General features: G+C 44.9%; 8 annotated features.

Annotated features, from left to right (window-relative positions):
• Positions 2,506-2,585: an enhancer, noted in NCBI's record as "active region_25453". NCBI's record gives its function as "activates an Ori minimal core promoter by ATAC-STARR-seq in GM12878 lymphoblastoid cells {active_cell/tissue: GM12878}" and the evidence as "EXISTENCE:reporter gene assay evidence [ECO:0000049][PMID:35858748]".
• Positions 2,786-2,845: an enhancer, noted in NCBI's record as "active region_25452". NCBI's record gives its function as "activates an Ori minimal core promoter by ATAC-STARR-seq in GM12878 lymphoblastoid cells {active_cell/tissue: GM12878}" and the evidence as "EXISTENCE:reporter gene assay evidence [ECO:0000049][PMID:35858748]".
• Positions 4,176-4,545: an enhancer, noted in NCBI's record as "active region_25451". NCBI's record gives its function as "activates an Ori minimal core promoter by ATAC-STARR-seq in GM12878 lymphoblastoid cells {active_cell/tissue: GM12878}" and the evidence as "EXISTENCE:reporter gene assay evidence [ECO:0000049][PMID:35858748]".
• Positions 4,656-4,725: an enhancer, noted in NCBI's record as "active region_25450". NCBI's record gives its function as "activates an Ori minimal core promoter by ATAC-STARR-seq in GM12878 lymphoblastoid cells {active_cell/tissue: GM12878}" and the evidence as "EXISTENCE:reporter gene assay evidence [ECO:0000049][PMID:35858748]".
• Positions 5,611-5,670: an enhancer, noted in NCBI's record as "active region_25449". NCBI's record gives its function as "activates an Ori minimal core promoter by ATAC-STARR-seq in GM12878 lymphoblastoid cells {active_cell/tissue: GM12878}" and the evidence as "EXISTENCE:reporter gene assay evidence [ECO:0000049][PMID:35858748]".
• Positions 17,302-17,802: an enhancer, noted in NCBI's record as "H3K4me1 hESC enhancer chr6:167493737-167494237 (GRCh37/hg19 assembly coordinates)". NCBI's record gives its function as "activates a minimal SCP1, AML or CMV promoter by ChIP-STARR-seq in naive H9 embryonic stem cells {active_cell/tissue: H9 hESC(naive)}" and the evidence as "EXISTENCE:reporter gene assay evidence [ECO:0000049][PMID:30033119]".
• Positions 17,848-18,187: an enhancer, noted in NCBI's record as "active region_25448". NCBI's record gives its function as "activates an Ori minimal core promoter by ATAC-STARR-seq in GM12878 lymphoblastoid cells {active_cell/tissue: GM12878}" and the evidence as "EXISTENCE:reporter gene assay evidence [ECO:0000049][PMID:35858748]".
• Positions 19,018-19,197: an enhancer, noted in NCBI's record as "active region_25447". NCBI's record gives its function as "activates an Ori minimal core promoter by ATAC-STARR-seq in GM12878 lymphoblastoid cells {active_cell/tissue: GM12878}" and the evidence as "EXISTENCE:reporter gene assay evidence [ECO:0000049][PMID:35858748]".

Here is a 20,110-nt window from a genome sequence, read left to right as displayed (position 1 = left end):
CGCCCTGAGCTCCAAAAGGAAAGCTGTGAAGAAACCCAGGCGGCCATGACTCGACATCAGGAAACACTTCAGGCCACGCTGTCTAATGAACACCCTGTGGGCATTTAGAAGTAAACGGGACAAGCACTTCGCGTGCATCGGCCCCAGCCAGCCTTGGTTCGGTTCTGGCTGGGCCTTGAGCGCTGGGCTCGGGCAGCTCCACCTCCCGCAGATCTGGACTTCAGCAAAGCATCTCGCAGATTCCTTTAAAATCTCCTGAGAGGCCGGGCGCGATGGCTCATGCCTGTAATCCCAGTACTTTGGGAGGTCGAGGTGGGCAGATCACCTGAGGTCAGGAGTTCAAGACCAGCCTGGCCACCATGGCAAAACCCCCTCTCTACTAAAAATACAAAAATTAGCCAGGTGCAGTGGCAGCCACCTGTAATCCCAGCTTCTCGGGAGACTGAGGCAGGAGAATCGTTTGAACCCAGGAGGCGGAGGTTGCAGTGAGCCAAGATCGCACCATTGCACTCCAGCCCGAGTGACAAGAGTGAAACTCTGTCTCAAAAAAAGCAGAAAATAAATAAATAAAATCCCCTGAGATAAAATGGCAAATGTAGGCCGAATGACCCTGCTGCTTAGGTAGATTCCTTGCTGATTGAGTCACTTTGTACCACCAGGAATGGGAAGTGATATTTTTGGTGTGAAAAGAATTGATTAATGAAATGCTACATGATCGTGCCATTGGCCTTGTGCTGGTCAGAATTATTTTAAATCAATGAGTTGCATGCAAAAGGGAAAGATGATTATCAAACCTGCTGAATTCTAAGATCTGTGATGGACAACAGATGCTACAGATAGTGCTCAAGGTTCCATATTATCTCATGTGGTTGGAATTCTGAGCTGAAAACAATAAAATATGAAGATAAGGAAATTAGAAACATGTAGGTTTCCAGGGCTCTGTCTGGGACGCTGCTGTCCAGCAGGGATGTAACGTGAGCCACGTATGTCATTTTAATTTTTTAGCAGCCACATTCAAAAAAGCAAACCGAGGCCGGGCGCAGTGGTTCACACATGTAATCCCAGCAGTTTGGGAGGCCAAGGCAGGTGGATCACCTGAGGTCAGGAGTTTGAGACCAGCCTGGCCAACATGGAGAAACCCCATCTCTACTAAAAATACAAAATTAGCCGGGTGTGGTGGCGCATGCCTGTAATCCCAGCTATTTGGGAGGCTGAAGCAGGAGAATCTCTTGAACTCGGGAGATGGAGGTTGCAGCCTCCGCACTCCATCCTGGGCAACAGAGCAAGACTCCATCTCAAAACAAACAAACAAACAAACAAAACAAAGCAAACTGAAATTATTAATTTTCCAAATATTTTTATTTTAACTTGATATATCTAAAATATAATACATTCAACATGTAATCAATAAAAATTGTCAGTGAGATCGTTTAGATTTTTGTAGAAAGTCTTCAAAATCAGGTGTGTAGTTTATATTTATAGCACATCTCACTTCAGACTAACATGCTTCAAGCACTCTGTAGTCACACATGACTGGTGGCTACCATGTTGGATGGCACAGGTAGGGAAATTGGTATACATAAAAGTGATCAGACGAAGGTCATAGGTCACAAGTCTGATATAAGTCCCTGTCACAGATAATCCAGTCTTGGGCAGTGCTAGTAGTAGGGTGTATGAATTATCTATTGCCAAAACAACACTGCCCGAGAAACAACCCTAAAACCTCAGTGACACACAGTGATAACCATTCAACATTGCCCCCAAGTCTCCAGGGTGGTCCTAGGGCCACTATGACCTGGCCCAGCACACTCCCTGTCTGGTCAATCGGTCAGCCAGTGCAGGCTGGTCCAGAATGGCCTTGACAGGAACAACTCTTGTACCTCTTGTGCTCTGTCACCCTCATGCAGGCCAGCCCCAGCCTGCTGTCATGATGGAAGCTGGTTTCCAGCAGGGACCTGGTGGCACAGACTGGAACTGGCACAGCCTCACTTTGCTCACATTCCACTGGTCAAAGCAAGTCTCAGGCCAAGGCAGACTTGGGTGGGGAAGCAGACCCTCCACCTGCAATGGGAGGAGCTGTGGACCACATCCCAGAGGATGGGAGTGCCAGGAACCTATGCATGGGGGCCATCGGCACCATCAATCCACCTTAGCTGGTATTCCAGACGTGGACAGCAACAGGCCCACAGATTGCTATGCTCATCAGTAGAGAAATGGATCATTTCTTCCAGACCTGGACACCCTATCTTAGAAGTGATGTGAGTTGCGTTCAGAAACGCAACCTGAACGGTCACACATTGGGGACCATGCCTTTCCACAGCCACACATCGGGGGCCACACCCCTCTATAAAGAATTATAGCAAGTGAGTGTGTTTAGTCCCAAAATGAGAAAATTAGGGGGCAACATGAGAGCTACCTTCAAATTTTAAAGAGCTACTGTGTGGAAGAAAACAGTCTTGTTCTCAGTTCCCCTAATATTTTCTGAGGGCTCATTATATACTGTACCAGGAACTATGCTAGGTGCAGAGACAAAAGTAGAATAAGGGAAGTTTCCGTAGATACCAGCTCATCCAAAGAAGGACTTTCTAACACATGAATAAGTCACTACTATCCAATAATTCACTTGCCACAGGAGAGCTCTGAAACTGAAACTACTCAAGCAGCTGCATTGTCAAGGGAATTTCTTGCCCAGTTGTTGGTCACTGATCTACCTTCTAAGGGGTCTTCCAAATCTCAATGCTATAAGCTGGCCTTACGTGTGCCTGTTTGGCTTGTGGGGATATAATGTATCATACTTTACATGTACAGACACATCTAATATCTAATAGAGATATATCTAATCAGATATAACAACCTCAAGCAAACCCCAAGTTGCTAGGTGCTTAGTAAATTATTTTGTTACACTGAAGGCTGAAAAAGCACAGAATGATTAAATGACTCAAGATCACGTGAGACAATGGGATAAACTGGAACTGAAACAGACTGTGGGGTGCTGGTCTACGCAGTTCACAAAGCCCCCATTGCTGACTAACCACAAGCCCAGAGGGAAGGCACATAGACTACTGTGCCCCTGCTACTGGTTAGGTTTTTCTTTTACACAGAGAAATAATTTGACTTTATCTAGGCTGCTACAAAGCCAATTGTTAACAGAACTAGGATTAGAATTCAGAAGTACTAGGTGTCAGGTTTCTGTACAAAGAGCAATAGTATTCCACTGAAGCACTTCTGTTTCCCTACAAATACAACCTATCTGTGACTGTGAAACCTCAAGGAATTTGTATTGAGAACCGCTGGCGCGAAGCGGGTGATAACGATAAGAACAGGCATTGTGCACAGCTAGAGGAGCCGTCTGTGGAATGCCGATGGTCGTCTCTTGGTAGAAATAGTAAGAAACCTTAGAACTGATCTTCTTCATTCTGGAAGGCATGGAAACAGAGAACAAGCTGGCCACTGCAGAAAGTTGTAAGACCTTTCGAGGCTGGCTCGACTGCAGCTGCGTTTTGCTTGGCTGTGAGTTTGCAGAACTTTGAGGCTTTCGGGGGAAGGTAGCTAAATCTGTATCAGGGCCAAGGGCACCCCTGGGAAAATTAAGAAACACCTTCTCTTTTGAGGTTTAACTCGACTAAAACCTCTCTGATGATTAGGATGGCCTCAACGGAAGCCCACTGGCCAAAAGAACATCGATAGTTCCCAGGGGAAATAAGTCGTGAGGGAAGGAAGGGTCAACAGGAAACCAGGACTCAGGATCCTGGGCAGAGTCGGCTGGTTTCAGCACCGTCTGAGGCTCATCAGGAAGCTCCTCTCTCACCGACCGTGGCTCTCAGCACTCAGGGAGCGCCACTGAGCATGCGTGAGAACAGCCGCCCTCAGCTCGCGGGGGTGTCAGCTTCCTTTGAAAACCCCCTCGGGTCTGTGTGCACAAGGCTCTGAACTAACCCTAGTGGGTCACCACGCAGGGCCCCTTCTCAGCGCCTGCTCTCCGCTCCACGTGAGGGAAGCAAGGGCAGCGGAGAACGCGTCCCACGCAGTCAAGCCAGGGATGGGCCTCGGGCTTCCTTTCTCTGTCCACGATGCCTCTGGAAGCAGGATACGGCCCTCGAGGCGGGCTCCTGGGATTCCTGGGAACACGGGAGGGTGAGCTATGAGCAGGCCGGGGCAGGGCAATCATGGAGACTGGACTTTTGCTCATATGGGCAGAAGAGTGATCAGGAAATTATTCTGAATGTGAAAAGACATGGCCAGCGTGTGACCGGCAGATGTGTATCCTCCAGTGCTCTGGGAGAACGCAGCCCCGGCTGGTAGCCCGGGCCCGTTTCTGTGAGGTCAACACTCACACCACGGCCAATGTCAGGCAAACAACCCGGTGTCACCGAAGCAGGGTTGGTAAGAGAAGCACAGCCTGCCCCAGCTGATCGCAGCGCAGCCCAGGAGGCGAGGCCACCGCCCAGAGGATTCTGGAAACAGCTCGCCGGGGCGAAGACGCAGGCACAGACAGTGCCTTCCGTAGGGTTCCAAGTATGCAAAACCCTAGGGGAAGCCTCTTCTATTTAGTCACAGAAAACAGGTGAGCAGTTGCCTGGAGCAGGGAGAGACGGGGAGGGATTGACAGGAAGGGAGCTCAGGGAAGCTGGTGGGAGTAGAAAGTTCTAGATCTTGATTGGGGTTGCAGTTACACTGGAACACAGTCGTTGTCAAAACTCACTGAAGTGGACCCTGAGAATGGATGCATTTTGCTGTATGTAAGTTATCCCAATAAAGCTGATATTTAAAAATATGTAACACCCCTCCAAGCCAATGCTGATATTGTAAGGATGATTTTCAGTACTGGGCACCGAGCTTCAGTACTGGGCACCGAGCTTCAGTACTGGGCACCGAGCTTCAGTACTGGGCACCAGGGTAGGAGTGAGGTTCCCTGATTTTCAGTCTTTACGGAGCTTTTACCCAGAGAGCTGCAGAGGCAGCACTGGCCAGAATTACTTTGGAACGCACCGTCTGTTTCTTCCTTGTTGCTTTTCACTGGTTAGTAAGAAGATTCACGAAGCTCCTCTGCCTGGCCACCTCCCCCCAACATCAACACACACTGGCACAGGTTCTGGAGGGCATCATTCAGACCCATGCTGTAAACACCCTTTACAGGCTGAGCCCTGAGTCCGTTTCCTCAGCAAAGTACCACAAACAATGTGGTTTAAAACAACGGAAACCTACTTCCTCACTCTTCGGGGGCCAGAGGTCCGAAATCGAGGTGCTGTCAGGGGTGGCTCCATTTGGAGGCTGTGCAGGGAACCGTCCCCAGCCTCGCTTCCCATTTCCGGTGGGGTCTGCAGTTCCTGGTGCCCCTTGACTTGTGAATGCATCACTCCAATCTATGCCTCCGTCTTCACAAACCCTCCGTCTCTGCGTTCTCTCCTGTTTTCATAAGGCCTGCCCTGAATGCAAGATAATTTCACTTTGAGTCCCATAACTAATTGCAACTGCAAAGGCTCTATTTCCAAATAATATAAAATAATATTCCAAATAATATTCTGCGTGAACATGAATTTTGGGAAGACACTATCCAGTTAATAATCATATTAACCGACTCCACTCCTACACGCTGTCTTCAGCCTAGAGCCTCCTGTGGAACTCCAGACGCCGACCCCCACTCAGAGTATTCAGAAGAGTCTCAGATCTGAAGCCAAACTCAATTTCACTCCCCAGACCTGTTCCTCCGACATGTGCTATCATCAAAGCAACAGTCAGTCCTTCCAACTGCTCAGGCCCCAAACCTTGCAGTCGTGCTTGGATTCTTTCTCCACATCAAATACGTCAGCAAAATCAGCAAATGTTCCTGGCCATCTCCAGGATGTATTAATAGTGTATATCCCACATTCATAGCCAGTCATTCCCACTCCTTCCTGCCCCAAACTTTTGCCCTCCAGAGAAGGCAAAGCTTTAGCATGATTCAAATCATGTCTGGATTCTGTTCTGAGCTCCCCAGGGCACCCCACATGCGCCAGGATAATGCCCTGTGTCCTCCCATGACTTAGAGGCCCCGTGGAGCCCTCGCCCTTGCCCTGCTCTCCTCCCGCTGCCCTGTGTCCTTCCCAGCTCTGTTGTTTATGCCAGTTGCCCCGGCAATCACACTGTGTCTGGGATCTGTCCAGCCGGTCCCTGCTCTAGGGCCCTGGTCCTTGCTGCTTCTCTCCCAGGTTGCTCTCCAGACAACCACACTGTCGGCCCCTTGGGTGTCTCAGTTCAAGCTTCCCTGACTACCCAGCTTAAAAGAGCTTCCCGATCCCAACTCCCTTCCTGGCTCTGATGCTGCTTCCTTTTCTCCTGGGCACTGGTCCCCTCCTGGCACGTTGTCGCTTGGATGTAAGGCCCCATAGAGAAGGCGCTTAGCCTGCATTCCTGCCTACCCAGGGTCTAGCGCAGACAGCAGGCGCTCAAGAAAGAGTTGCTGAGTGAGCGTGTGAATGAAGACTTGATGACTGACATACAAAATTAAAGAATCTGGGGTTTTTTAAAAGCTTATCTCATTTTTTGCAACAATCTTTAGACCTGATCTTCGATCAGCCTTTAGCTGATGTATAGATAGGGTGAGGTTGCCACAATCTGGGGTAGATCAGCTTTGTGACTTGTCATCTAAAAAGGGGAAGAGGTTTAACTTGAAAGAGAAAAAAAAAACAGTAGACGACCTTTATGTGGAACAGTTACGCGAAGCCTCATCGGTGGCCAGGCAACTTCCTTTCCAACTTCTTCTTACTCGGGACCCTCTGCCCATGTTTACATCTTGCCAAAGACCATGGAAACTGGTAAACATCTTGCCAAATAAAGCTGTTTAGACTGACTGAACATGCAAAGACGCCCTCTGTCCCTTGGACAACTACAGGTCAGGGAAATGAATGGAAGTCACATGAGACTCTACTCTTTCAAATTCCCTTTTAAAGTGGAAATTCCCTCGCTTGGTTATAGTATTAAAGGGAACAAGCCTAAGAAGTGGAATTACAGGAAAAATGGGCACGTGAGGATATGAGAGTATAGATGGTGTACGCTCATAGATGGTACAGAGTAGATGGGCATCATTTGGATAGAGAAACACAAAACACTCTTTGCTGAACTTGAAGATGATATTGCTGGTTAAGAGCACAGACTTGGGAATTATATCAGCATTTGAATCTCGACTCTTGACCCTACTACTTCCTAATGGGGTGATGTGTGTAAAGTTGTTAATCTTTCTGAGCCCTACCTGCCTCATGTGTGGTATATAGAGATGCAGGCACCTCAAAGGCCTGAGTCTGACACACAGTGGATGGCGAAAATTGGAGAGCTGGAGGAGGAGAGGCACATAGGTCATGCCTAAGTCATGAGAACATACAAACAACAAAATCAACAATAGAAATCTAGCTTCACTTGATTGATCCAGCTTGTCGGAAGATTGCTAAGAGATTCCACTCAACAACTAAACCGCCGTTCCACACTATGATTGCTGACTTGAGGCTGGTAACACCTTTTGGGAACGCTGTCTTGGGAACGTTCACAGGAAAATTGCTCCTTTGGGTACAAGGTTTTGAGATACAATCTCTGGGTCAATGAGTACTTTACATACAGGAACCCCAAAATGGAGGAAGTAGGCTATGGAGGAACAAGAAAAGAAGGGAAAAACAAAGCAGCCACAGAGGCGAGGTGGCTGCTCCCCTTCCTGCCACCTGGAGGAAGTTGGAGGCTAGTTCTGGAGACATCACAGTTTCTATTACTTTGGTTACTTGGCAGAGCCTAAAAACTTCCTCTTGTGTGGAAGAAAGAAAATCCTTTCTGTGTTGCTCCCTGGAGGGAAGAAAACCAGGCTGACTCTTGCTTCCATTTGAGGAGCTCAAAGGAAGCCATTTCCCACGATGGTCCCCCAGGCACAATCCTGCATGGAGCCCAGCCCTGGCCCACAGCTCCTTGACTACAATCCCCTTGACCCATTCATCACCCTTGCCACTGGCCCTATTCTTTGTGACTTGGCTCAACACTGGTGACTTCTTCTGCTGCCCTATTCACCTCCAGTCTGAGACTCAGGAGCATGTGGCCACCTGCTGCCACAGAGATGCCACACACATGGCCCAACGCCAACGGGGTCGCTTAAAATACATTGCTGATCTGTGGCCTATGTCTGGAGGAAAGGGGCCGGTGGGGTCCTACAGTGACCCGAGAGGCTCCTATTCTGAACCACAGAGAGCACCACACCAAGAGGCTGGTGTGATATGCTGCTGGGCCCACAGTTTTCATGGGCCCCATGTGCCTGGAGTGAAAGGTCTTTAGATCAATCAAAGAGATCCAGTGTCTGGGGAGTTCTTGTTTCTTCACACTGACCACTTCAATAACGCAAGGACGGGGATTTTCTTGGCTTTGACCAAGGCTGCAGTCTCTCCAGAGCTGAAAACTCAAGTTACTTCTGCCTGGTTCTGGCCTCCCCTGACTCGGCTCTGCCATTAACCAGTAAAACTAGTATCTCCTGTTCTAGAGGGAGGTCGTCATCCTGGTAGAGGGCCATGTGTAAGGATCTGCACCCCTCTGTTTAATTCTCCAGGAAGGTCACTGCAGCTGAGGTCAACTTCCTCCCCAGAGAAGCAAAACCTGTTGGCTGCAGAGGCTGCTTGTTAAACAGAGAGGCGTTACCTCCAGGAGATGTGTGACATCAGACTTTTCAGGGATAGTGCCCAGAAAGCTCAGAAACTTTGCTTAACAAACTCTTCCAGGTGATTCTGATATTAGCTAAATCTGAAAACCACAGAATTAAATGATGTTAGTTTTTTTCCCTCGAAATTTAAGTTTCATACTGACCCTTGAACTACTTATACTGAAAACATTTCAAACATTGATAGTTCATTGATACTAGCAACTGATCTGAAATTATTACTTTGCCTAAAAAAAACTGACAATTTCAGAATATTATCATTCCTTAGTAGTTTGCATTTATGACATTAGATAGTTCCAACTCCTTCCTCCACTTTGTGCAAATGATTTCATGTATCTTATTTCTACATCTGTCATAAACCCTGTTTACTATTTTTAATTTAGTTAACAATTTTTTTTTTTTTTTTGAGACAGGGTCTCACTCTGTTGCTCAGGCTGGAGTGCAGTGGTGCAGTCATGCCTGACTGCAACCTCACCCTCCTGGGCTCAACCTCCTTGCCTCAGCCTCCTGAGTAGCTGGGACTACAGGCATACACCACCATGCCCAGCTAATTTTTGTATTATTTGTAGAGACAGGGTTTCACCATGTTGCCCAGACTTGTCTCAAACTCCTAAACCCAAGCCATCTGCCCATCTCAGGCTCCCAAAGTGCTGGGATTACAGGCATGAGCCACTGCACCTGGCCACCATAGTTGACAGTCTTTTAAAGAATCAGCCATGAGAAAATGTTTTTAATATCCACTTTTACTATTTCTGGTGCTCACTTCTCTGTGTAACCCCAAATTTTTATCTGGTATAATTTTCCTATAGCCTAAAGAACTACCTTTAACATTTATTGTAGCACAAGTCTCTCAGCAGTGAGTTATCTTAGTTTTTCAGGGTCTAAAAAGCTTTTATTTTTGCCTTTAATTTAAAACAATATTTTAATGGATCTGTAATAGAATAATAGAATTCTGGATTAATTGTTTCAGTACTTTAAGATGTCAGTTCATTAACATCCAGCTTACATGTCTGACAAGAAATCTATTACAATTATCTTTCTTCTTGGGTATGTAATGTCCCCCACAACTCCCAAATGCATTCTACATTTTCTCCTTATCTTTGGTTTTAAAAAGTTTGATTTTATGTGTCTAGGTGGGGTTTTTTTTTTTTTTGGTATGGAGATTTTTTATTTGTTTTTGTATTTATACTGTTGGGATTCCCTGAGCTTCTTGGACCTGAGGTTTGCTGTCTTGCATTATATTTGCAAATTATCTCTTTAAATATTTCTTCTGTTTTATTCCTTGCTGTTTGTTTGCTTGTTCTGGGACTCCAACTGCATGTACATTAGATGATCTCACAGCTCTTGGAGGCCTTGTTAGACAGAGTTTTTCCCTCTATTTTATGTTTTTTTTTTTGTTGTTTTTTTTTTTTTTTTTTTTCTGAGACAAGAGTGTCACTCTGTCGCCAAGGCTAGAGTGTAGTGGTGTAATCTTGGCTCACTGCAACCTCCGCTTCCTGGGTTCAAGCAATTCTCCTGCCTCAGCCTCCCGAGTAGCTGGGACTGCAGGCATATGCCCCCACACCAGGCTAATTTTTGTATTTTTAGTAGAGATGGGGTTTCACTGTGTTGTCCAGGCGGGTCTTGAACTCCTGACCTTGTGATCCACCTGTCTTGGCCTCCTGAAGTGCTGGGATTACAGGCATAAGCCACTGTGCCCAGCCCATTTTATGTTATTTGTGTGTCATTTTATATGATTCCTGTTGACCTATCTTCAAGTTCCTTAATCTTTCTTCAGCTGAGACTAGTTCACTGATAAGCTTTCTGAAGGAATTCTTTATGTCTTATATATTTTTTGTAGCATTCCCACATGTCTTTTATACTCTCTATCTCTCTGCTGAAATTTCCCATCTGTTCATGTATGCCATATGCCTTTTCCTCTAGATCATTTAACAAATTCTTCAGGGCTTTTTTGTATTGTTTTGTTTTTGTTTTTGTTTTGTTTTGAGATGGAGTTTTTGTTCTTGTCGCTCAGGCTGGAGTGCAATGGTGCAATCTTGGCTCACTGCAACCTCTGCCTTCTGGGTTCAAGCAATTCTCCTGCCTCAACCTCCCTAGTAGCTGGGACTATAGGCACCCAGCACCACGCCTGGCTAATTTTTGTCTTTTTAGTAGAGATGGGGTTTCACCATGTTGGCCAGACTGGTCTCGAGCTCCTGACCTTAGGTGATCTGCCCACTTTGACCTCCCAAAGTGCTGAGATTACAAGTGTGAGCCACCATGCACAGCCTCATCAGAGTTATTTTAAAGCCCCTGTCTTAGAGTTCCCACATCTGGGCCATCTTGAATTCTGGTTCTATTGATTGATTGCTTTATAAGTTGACTATGAGTTGTTTTTGTTTTTGTTTTATTTTGTTTTCTTAACTGTCATTTTTTGATTTACTGCTGGAAATCATGTGTAAAAGTAGACACTGTTTATGCCCTTAAAAAATAGTTTCATGTCAGGGTGAGGCATCGCCTCACCCGGGAAGCACAAGGGGTCAGGGAATTCTCTCTCCTAGCCAAGGAAAGGGGTGACAGACGGCACCTGGAAAATCGGGTCACTCCCACCCTAATACTGCACTTTTCCGACAGTCTTAGCAAACGGCACACCAGGAGATTATATCCTGTGCCTGGCTCAGAGAATCCCATGCCCACGGAGCCTCACTCATTGCTAGCACAGCAGTCTGAGATCAAACTGCAAGTTGGCAGCGAGGCTGGGGGAGGGGTGCCCGCCATTGCCAAGGCTTGAGTAGGTAAACAAAGTGGCCTGGAAGCTCGAACTGGGTGGAGCCCACCGCAGCTCAAGGAGGCCTGCCTGCCTCTATAGACTCCACCTCTAGGGGCAGGGCATAGCCAAACAAAAGGCAGCAGAAACCTCTGCAGACTTGAATGTCCCTGTCTGACAGCTTTGAAGAGAGTAGTGGTTCTCCCAGCATGCAGCTGGAGATCTGAGAACGGACAGACTGCTTCCTCAAGTGTGTCCCTGACCCCCCAAGTAGCCTGACTGGGAGGTACCCCCCAGTAGGGGCAGACTGACATCTCACACGGCCAGGTACTCCTCTGAGACAAAACTTCCAGAGGAATGATCAGGCAGCAACATTTGCTGTTCACCAATATCCGCTGTTCTGCAGCCTCTGCTGCTGATACCCAGGCAAACAGGGTCTGGAGTAGACCTCTGGCAAACTCCAACAGACCTGTAGCTGAGGGTCCTGACTGTTAGAAGGAAAACTAACAAACAGAACATCCACACCAAAACCCCATCTGTACGTCACCATCATCAAAGACCAAAGGTAGATAAAACCACAAAGATGGGGAAAAAACAGAGCAGAAAAACTGAAAATTCTAAAAATCAGAATGCCTCTCCTCCTCCAAAGGAATGCAGCTCCTCACCAGCAACGGAACAAAGCTGGACGGAGAATGACTTTGATGAGTTGAGAGAAGGAGACTTCAGACAATCAAACTACTCCAAGCTAAAGGAGGAAGTTCGAACCCATGGCAAAGAAGTTAAAAACCTTGAAAAAAGATTAGACGAATGGCTAACTAGAATAACCAGTGCAGAGAAATCCTTAAAGGACCCGATGGAGCTGAAAACCACAGCATGAGAACTACGTGACAAATGCACAAGCCTCAGTAGCCAATTCCATCAACTGGAAGAAAGGGTATCAGTGATGGAAGATCAAATGAATGAAATGAAGTGAGAAAGGAAGTTTAGAGAAAAAAGAATAAAAAGAAATGAACAAAGCCTCCAAGAAATATGGGACTACGTGAAAAGACCTAATCTACGTCTGATTGGTGTACCTGAAAGTGACGGGGAGAATAGAACCAAGTTGGAAAACACTTGCAGGATATTATCCAGGAGAACTTCCCCAATCTAGCAAGGCAGGCCAACATTCAAGTTCAGGAAATACAGAGAACACCACCAAGATACTCCTCGAGAAGAGCAACTCCAAGACACGTAATTGTCAGATTCACCAAAGTTGAAATGAAGGAAAAAATGTTAAGGGCAGCCAGAGAGAAAGGTTGGGTTACCCACAAAGGGAAGCCCATCAGACTAACAGCGGATCTCTTGGCAGAAACTCTACAAGCCAGAGGAGAGTGGGGGCCAATATTCAACATTCTTAAAGAAAAGAATTTTCAACCTAGAATTTCATATCCAGCCACACTAAGCTTCATAAGTGAAGGAGAAATAAAATCCTTTACAGACAAGCAAATGCTGAGAGATTTTGTCACCACCAGGCCTGCCTTACAAGAGCTCCTGAAGGAAGCACTAAACATGGAAAGGAACAACCGGTACCAGCCACTGCAAAAACATGCCAAATTGTAAAGACCATCGATGCTAGGAAGAAACTGCATCAACTAACGAGCAAAATAACCAGCTAACATCATAATGACAGGATCAAATTCACACATAACAATATTAACCTTAAATGTAAATGGGCTAAATGCTCCAATTAAAAGACACAGACTGGCAAATTGGATAAAGAGTCAAGACCCATCAGTGTGCTGTATTCAGGAAACCCATCTCATGTGCAGAGACACACATAGGCTCAAAATAAAGGGATGGAGGAAGATCTACCAAGCAAATGGAAAACAAAAAAAGGCAGGGGTTGCAATCCTAGTCTCTGATAAAACAGACTTTAAACCAACAAAGATCAAAAGAGACAAAGAAGGCCATTACATAATGGTAAAGGGATCAATTCAACAAGAAGAGCTAACTATCCTAAATACATATGCACCCAATACAAGAGCACACAGATTCATAAAGCAAGTCCTTAGAGACCTACAAAGAGACTTAGACTCCCACACAATAATGGGAGATTTTAACACCCTACTGTCAACATTAGACAGATCAATGAGACAGAAAGTTAAAAAGGATATCCAGGAAATGAACTCAGCTCTGCACCAAGCGGACCTAATAGACATCTACAGAACTCTCCACCCCAAATCAACAGAATATACATTCTTCTCAGCACCACACCACACCTATTCCAAAATTGACCACATAGTTGGAAGTAAAGCACTCCTCAGCGAATGTAAAAGAACAGAAATTATAACAAACTGTCTCTCAGACCACAGTGCAATCAAACTAGAACTCAGGATTAAGAAACTCACTCAAAACTGCTCGACTACATGGAAACTGAACAACCTGCTCCTGAATGACTACTGGGTACATAACGAAATGAAGGCAGAAATAAAGATGTTCTTTGAAACCAATGAGAACAAAGACATAACATACCAGAATCTCTGGGACACATTTAAAGCAGTGTGTAGAGGGAAATTTATAGCACTAAATGCCCACAAGAGAAAGCAGGAAAGATCTAAAATTGACACCCTAACATCACAATTAAAAGAACTAGAGAAGCAAGAGCAAACACATTCAAAAGCTAGCAGACGGCAAGAAATAACTAAGATCACAGCAGAACTGAAGGAAATAGAGACACAAAAAAACCCTTAAAAAAAAATCAAGGAATCCAGGAGCTGGTTTTTTGAAGAGATCAACAAAATTGATAGACTGCTAGCAAGACTAATAAGGAAGAAAAGAGAGAAGAATCAAATAGACGCAATAAAAAAATGATAAAGGGGATATCGCCACCAATCCCATAGAAATACAAACTACCATCAGAGAATACTATAAACACCTCTACGCAAATAAACTAGAAAATCTGGAAGAAATGGATAAATTCCTTGACACATACACCCTCCCAAGACTAAACCAGGAAGAAGTTGAATCTCTGAATAGATCAATAACAGGCTCTGAAATTGAGGCAATAATTAATAGCTTACCAATCAAAAAAAGTCAAGGACCAGATGGATTCACAGCCGAATTCTACCAGAGGTATAAGGAGGAGCTGGTACCATTCCTTCTGAAACTATTCCAATCAATAGAAAAAGAGGGATTCCTCCCTAACTAATTTTATGAGGCCACCATCATCCTGATACCAAAGCCCAGCAGAGACACAATAAAAAAAGAGAAGTTTAGACCAATATCCCTGACGAACATCGATGCAAAAATCCTCAATAAAATTCTGGCAAACCAAATCCAACAGCACATCAAAAAGCTTATCCACAATGATCAAGTGGGCTTCATCCCTGGGATGCAAGGCTGGCTCAGCATACGAAAATCAATAAACGTAATCCATCATATAAATAGAACCAACGACAAAAACCACATGATTTCTCAATAGATGCAGAAAAGGTTTCCGACAAAATTCAACAGCCCTTCATGCTAAAAACTCTCAACAAATTAGGTATTGATGGGACGTATCTCAAAATAATAAGAGCTATCTATGACAAACCCACAGCCAATATCATACTGAATGGGCAAAAACTGGAAGCATTCCCTTTGAAAACTGGCACAAGACAGGGATGACCTCTCTCACCACTCCTATTCAACATAGTGTTGGAAGTTCTGGCCAGGGCAATTAGGCAGGAGAAGGAAATAAAGGGTATTCACTTAGGAAAAAAGGAAGTCAAATTGTCCCTGTTTGCAGATGACATGATTGTATATCTAGAAAACCCCATCGTCTCAGCCCAAAATCTCCTTAAGCTGATAAGCAACTTCAGCAGAGTCTCAGGTTACAAAATCAATGTGCAAAAATCACAAGCATTCTTATACACCAATAACAGACAAACAGAGAGCCAAATCATGAGTGAACTCCCATTCACAATTGCTTCAAAGAGAATAAAATACCTAGGAATCCAACTTACAAGGCACGTGAAGGACCTCTTCAAGGAGAACTACAAACCGCTGCTCAACAAAATAAAAGAGGATACAAACAAATGGAAGAACATTCCATGCTCATGGGTAGGAAGAATCAATATCGTGAAAATGGCCATATTGCCCAAGGTAATTTATAGATTCAATGCCATTCCCATCAAGCTACCAATGACTTTCTTCACAGAATTGGAAAAAACTACTTTAAAGTTCATATGGAACCAAAAAAGAGCCTGCATCGCCAAGTCAATCCTAAGCCAAAAGAACGCAGCTGGAGGCATCATGCTACCTGACTTCAAACTATACTACAAGGCTACAGTAACCAAAACAGCATGGTACTGGTACCAAAACAGAGATATAGACCAATGGAACAGAACAGAGCTCTCAAAAATAATGCCGCATATCTACAACCATCTGATCTTTGACAAACCTGACAAAAACAAGAAATGGGTAAAGGATTCCCTATTTAATAAATGCTGCTGGGAAAACTGGCTAGCCATATGTAGAAAGCTGAAACTGGATCCCATCCTTACACCTTACACAAAAATTAATTCAAGATGGATTAAAGACTTAAATGCTAGACCTAAAACCATAAAAACCCTAGAAGAAAACCTAGGCAATACCATTCAGGACATAGGCATGGGCAAAGACTTCATGTCTAAAACACCAAAAGCAATGGCAACAAAAGACAAAATTGATAAATGGGATCTAATTAAACTAAAGAGCTTCTGCACAGCAAAAGAAACTACCATCAGAGTGAACAGGCAACCTACAGAATGGGAGAAAATTTTTGCAAGCTACTCCTCTGACAAAGGGCTAATATCCAGAATCTACAATGAACTCAAACAAATTTACAAGAAAAATACAAACAACCCCATCAACAAGTGGGCGAAGGATATGAACAGACACTTCTCAAAAGAAGACATTTATGCAGCCAAAAGACACATGAAAAAATGCTCATCATCACTGGCCATCAGAGAAATGCAAATCAAAACCACAATGAGATACCATCTCACATCAGTTAGAATGGCGATCATTAAAAAGTCAGGAAACAACAGGTGCTGGAGAGGATGTGGAAAAATAGGAACACTTTTACACTGTTGGTGGGACTGTCAACTAGTTCAACCATTGTGGAAGTCAGTGTGGAGATTCCTCAGGGATCTAGAACTAGAAATACCATTTGACCCAGCCATCCCATTACTGGGTATATACCCAAAGGATTGATTATAAATCATGCTGCTATAAAGACACATGCACACGTATGTTTATTGCCGCACTATTCACAATAGCAAAGACTTGGAACCAACCCAAATGTCCAACAGTGATAGACTGGATTAAGAAAATGTGGCACATATACACCATGGAATACTATGCACCCATAAAAAATGATGAGTTCATGTCCTTTGTAGGGACATGGATGAAGGTGGAAACCATCATTCTCAGCAAACTATCGCAAAGACAAAAAACCAAACACTGCATGTTCTCACTCATAGGTGGGAATTGAACAATGAGAACACATGGACACAGGAAGGGGAACATCACACACCAGAGCCTGTTGTGGGGTGGGGGGAGTGGGGAGGGATAGCATTAGGAGACATACCTAATGTTAAATGATGAGTTAGTGGGTGCAGCACACCAACATGGCACATGTATACATATGTAACAAACCTGCACGTTGTGCACATGTACCCTAAAACTTAAAGTATAATAATAAAAAAAGAAAGCTTCATGTGTGGTGCAGGGGATGAAGTGTTTGCCCATCTAGTCAGGAGTGGAGCTGGATTTGATTTTTTCTTTTATAATTATCACCTTCAGTGCACCACAAGCTTCAGAACCCTCCGGTGATAGATGCTGGGGCTGACATGGGGCTGACCTATGGAGGGTTTTTCTCAGGATTCTCTCTCCATCTTCCACTTTCAGCCATTCCCACGGAGGACCAGGAAGTTGCGGCTGTTTTCTCCAGTGACCCCATTCGAACGCTGCTGCAGTGACTGATTTCAACTGAGAAAGGGTGAGGCCTAGACAGGCAAGCATGAGATGAGGGACGCGTCTTCGGGTCACTTGTTGGGGCTGAACGCTGTGTCATTTGCTGTTCTGTAAGGAACGCCTGTAGTGGTTCTTGGGGACCAGAGTGGAAGAAAAAAAAACATTCCTCCTTCTCTCAGAAGTTGAAGATTCAGGGAACGCAAAGCCATTTTCATTGATTGGCTGTGCAACTGCCCATTTCTTAATGAGAACCCTAGAAAGCATAACTTCTAATTCAGAAAGGATGCTGAGGTGTTCTCTAGGCTAGTGTTTCTCAAGCTTTCATGTGCAGACGAAGCACTGCAATGTGAATTCATGTGGATTCACTGGTTCTGATACAGTAGCCCTGGGAGGGCCTGAGAGCTCCAGGTGACAGCAAGGCCCTGGCCTGGGGCCACACTTTGGGCAGCAAGGCTCTGGCACACACAATGAGAGCCAGACCCGGGACCCGTGGAGCACTTCCCGAGGATCTGAGGCTCTCATCGCTCTCCACCACAAAACGCGCTCTACTGGAGGCAGTGACACAGAATTAGAAACTCCACAAGTTGACTGAAAGGATGTCTCAACTTGAGGACCTGAAACTGAGACGTTTATCAAGGGCCCCACTGGAACAACGGGGACTTCCCCAGGTTTCCAAGACAGACCAAAAAGCACAGCAACAGCACAAATGGCAGTGCCCCTCAATGGCTGTGAGTGACATGACATGTGGCAAGCCCTGCTCTGAGCCAGGCCGTAAGCCAAGCATGTTTAGGAACGTACAGCCTCGTCCCAGGGTTCATGGTGTACTTGCTTTTCAAATGAATGTCTCATCTGCAAATCACATATTATCATGCCTGGAGAACATGATAAATGTGTTGTTCATATTTCATTTTGTTTTCTATAAATATTTCATATCCTCCTCTGAAGCCCAGGAATCTACCTTGCCGGCCATAGGACTTCCACTTTTCATTCCCATTATTCACAGACCCGCTAGAGGTTCTGCCTGTGTGTGTCCCTCTATATTAAGGAATATTTCATTCCACTTATGCTAGAGCACAGTAGACATCTGCTGCTACATGAGTGTTTCTAAAGCTTCCACCTCTGTGAAAATGTGCATACTGGGGATCTGTGCTATATTTAAAGGAAGATCTTAAGAAACGCCAATTCCCCATCGTAAGATAGAACTCAGGCAGTGTCGTCTAATAACAGATCATCCAATGACATGAAAGTTTTCACCAAAAGAAAAGGAGTTCCTGCTGATGCTTCCATGGGAATAGGGTCTATAGGAATCTGCTGTTCTTTCTGAAAAGGTTTCTTATCAGCCCCTCAGCAACACTCTGTAGGAAATCCTCACTTGCTGTTAGAAGCAACTATACTCAGATTTTCATTATAGAAAGAGTATTGCTTCAGGCTCCAAGTCTACAGTCCCAAACCCAACTTTATCTGATTATTAGTTCCTAGAAAAAGGTGTTCCTAGAAAAAGGTATTCCTAAATATCACTTTAAATTAGACCATAAAATGATGAGTCTTATTTTGAATTTTCTTCTGGGAATAAAAAGCTGTCATCCATTGTGACATCTCACATGGCACAGGCATTTATAGAACGCCAGAGTCATGTTATCTGAAAGTGAAATTAGTGTGCTCCAGAATCTCTCATCTTTCTCTGTGTCTGTGGGGCAGTCATTCGTGTTTCATCAGTATTTCCAGGTCTCCGCCTTCTGAGCACGGAACAGATCAGCCTTCATCACTGTCGGGGGTTACAGGACTTGCTCTGCTAATTTACTGAGACGAAGGCAATGTGTGCACTTCTGAGCGAAGCCTTCTGGTTCTGGTGTCCAGTTTGCTCTGTTCTTTCCTCTCCCTGGTACCCCACAGGGTGGAACCACGTGCAGCACCTCCAAGTGACAGCCCTGTGGGGCAGGCCTGGGAGGACACAGAGCCAGGTGAGACATGAGGCTGCTGGTTACTGTAGGAGAGTCTAGCCTCTCCTTACTGGTATGGGTGTTTTATCATAAGTAACAGGTTTGGAAAAATCCAAAGGCAAACAAAGATTTGCATAAAGATAAACAGTCTTAAAACTGTCTTACCCTTCTAGAGCACTTCTGCAAGAGAAGCTGCAATGGACTGGATTACGTCTCTCTAAAATGCAATATGGTGTAATGGGCTGAATATCTGTGTGGTCCCCAAAATTCCTATGTCAAAATCCTCACCCTTAAAGAAAGGGATGCTATTAGGAGGTGGGGCCTCTGGGAGGTGATTAGGTCGTGAGGGTGAAACCCCATGAATGGGCTTAGTGCCCGTATAACAGACCCCTGAGAGCTCCTTCGTCCCTTCTCCCTGTGAGGATGCAGTGAAGGCAAGAAGGTGCCGTCTGTGAACCAGGAATTGGGCCCTCACCAGACATCGAATCTGCCGGCACCTCGATCTTGGACTTCTAGCCTCCAGAACTGTGAGAAATAAATGTCTATTGTTACAACAGCCAGAACGAACTAAGACCAAGATGTGTTTTTGACAGACTCTGAAGGCTATTTATGTGCTGGGATCATTGCAATCTGTTCTTCACCTTTTTAAGAGTGTGGGATTTCACTTCCTAGATGTTATCAAACAGGCTGCATTCATAATTCTGGCTAACTATATGTGAGTGATTTCTCTGTACCCAGCAATGTGCTAAGTACTTTGCATGGAGTAATAATATTTCTCTTAATAAA

The sequence above is a fragment of the Homo sapiens genome, chromosome 6 (assembly GCF_000001405.40).
Source record: "Homo sapiens chromosome 6, GRCh38.p14 Primary Assembly".
Taxonomy (NCBI): Eukaryota; Metazoa; Chordata; class Mammalia; order Primates; family Hominidae; genus Homo; species Homo sapiens.
The sequence above is the reverse complement of the archived record's forward strand: the minus strand, read 5'-3'. Positions and strand labels throughout refer to the sequence as shown.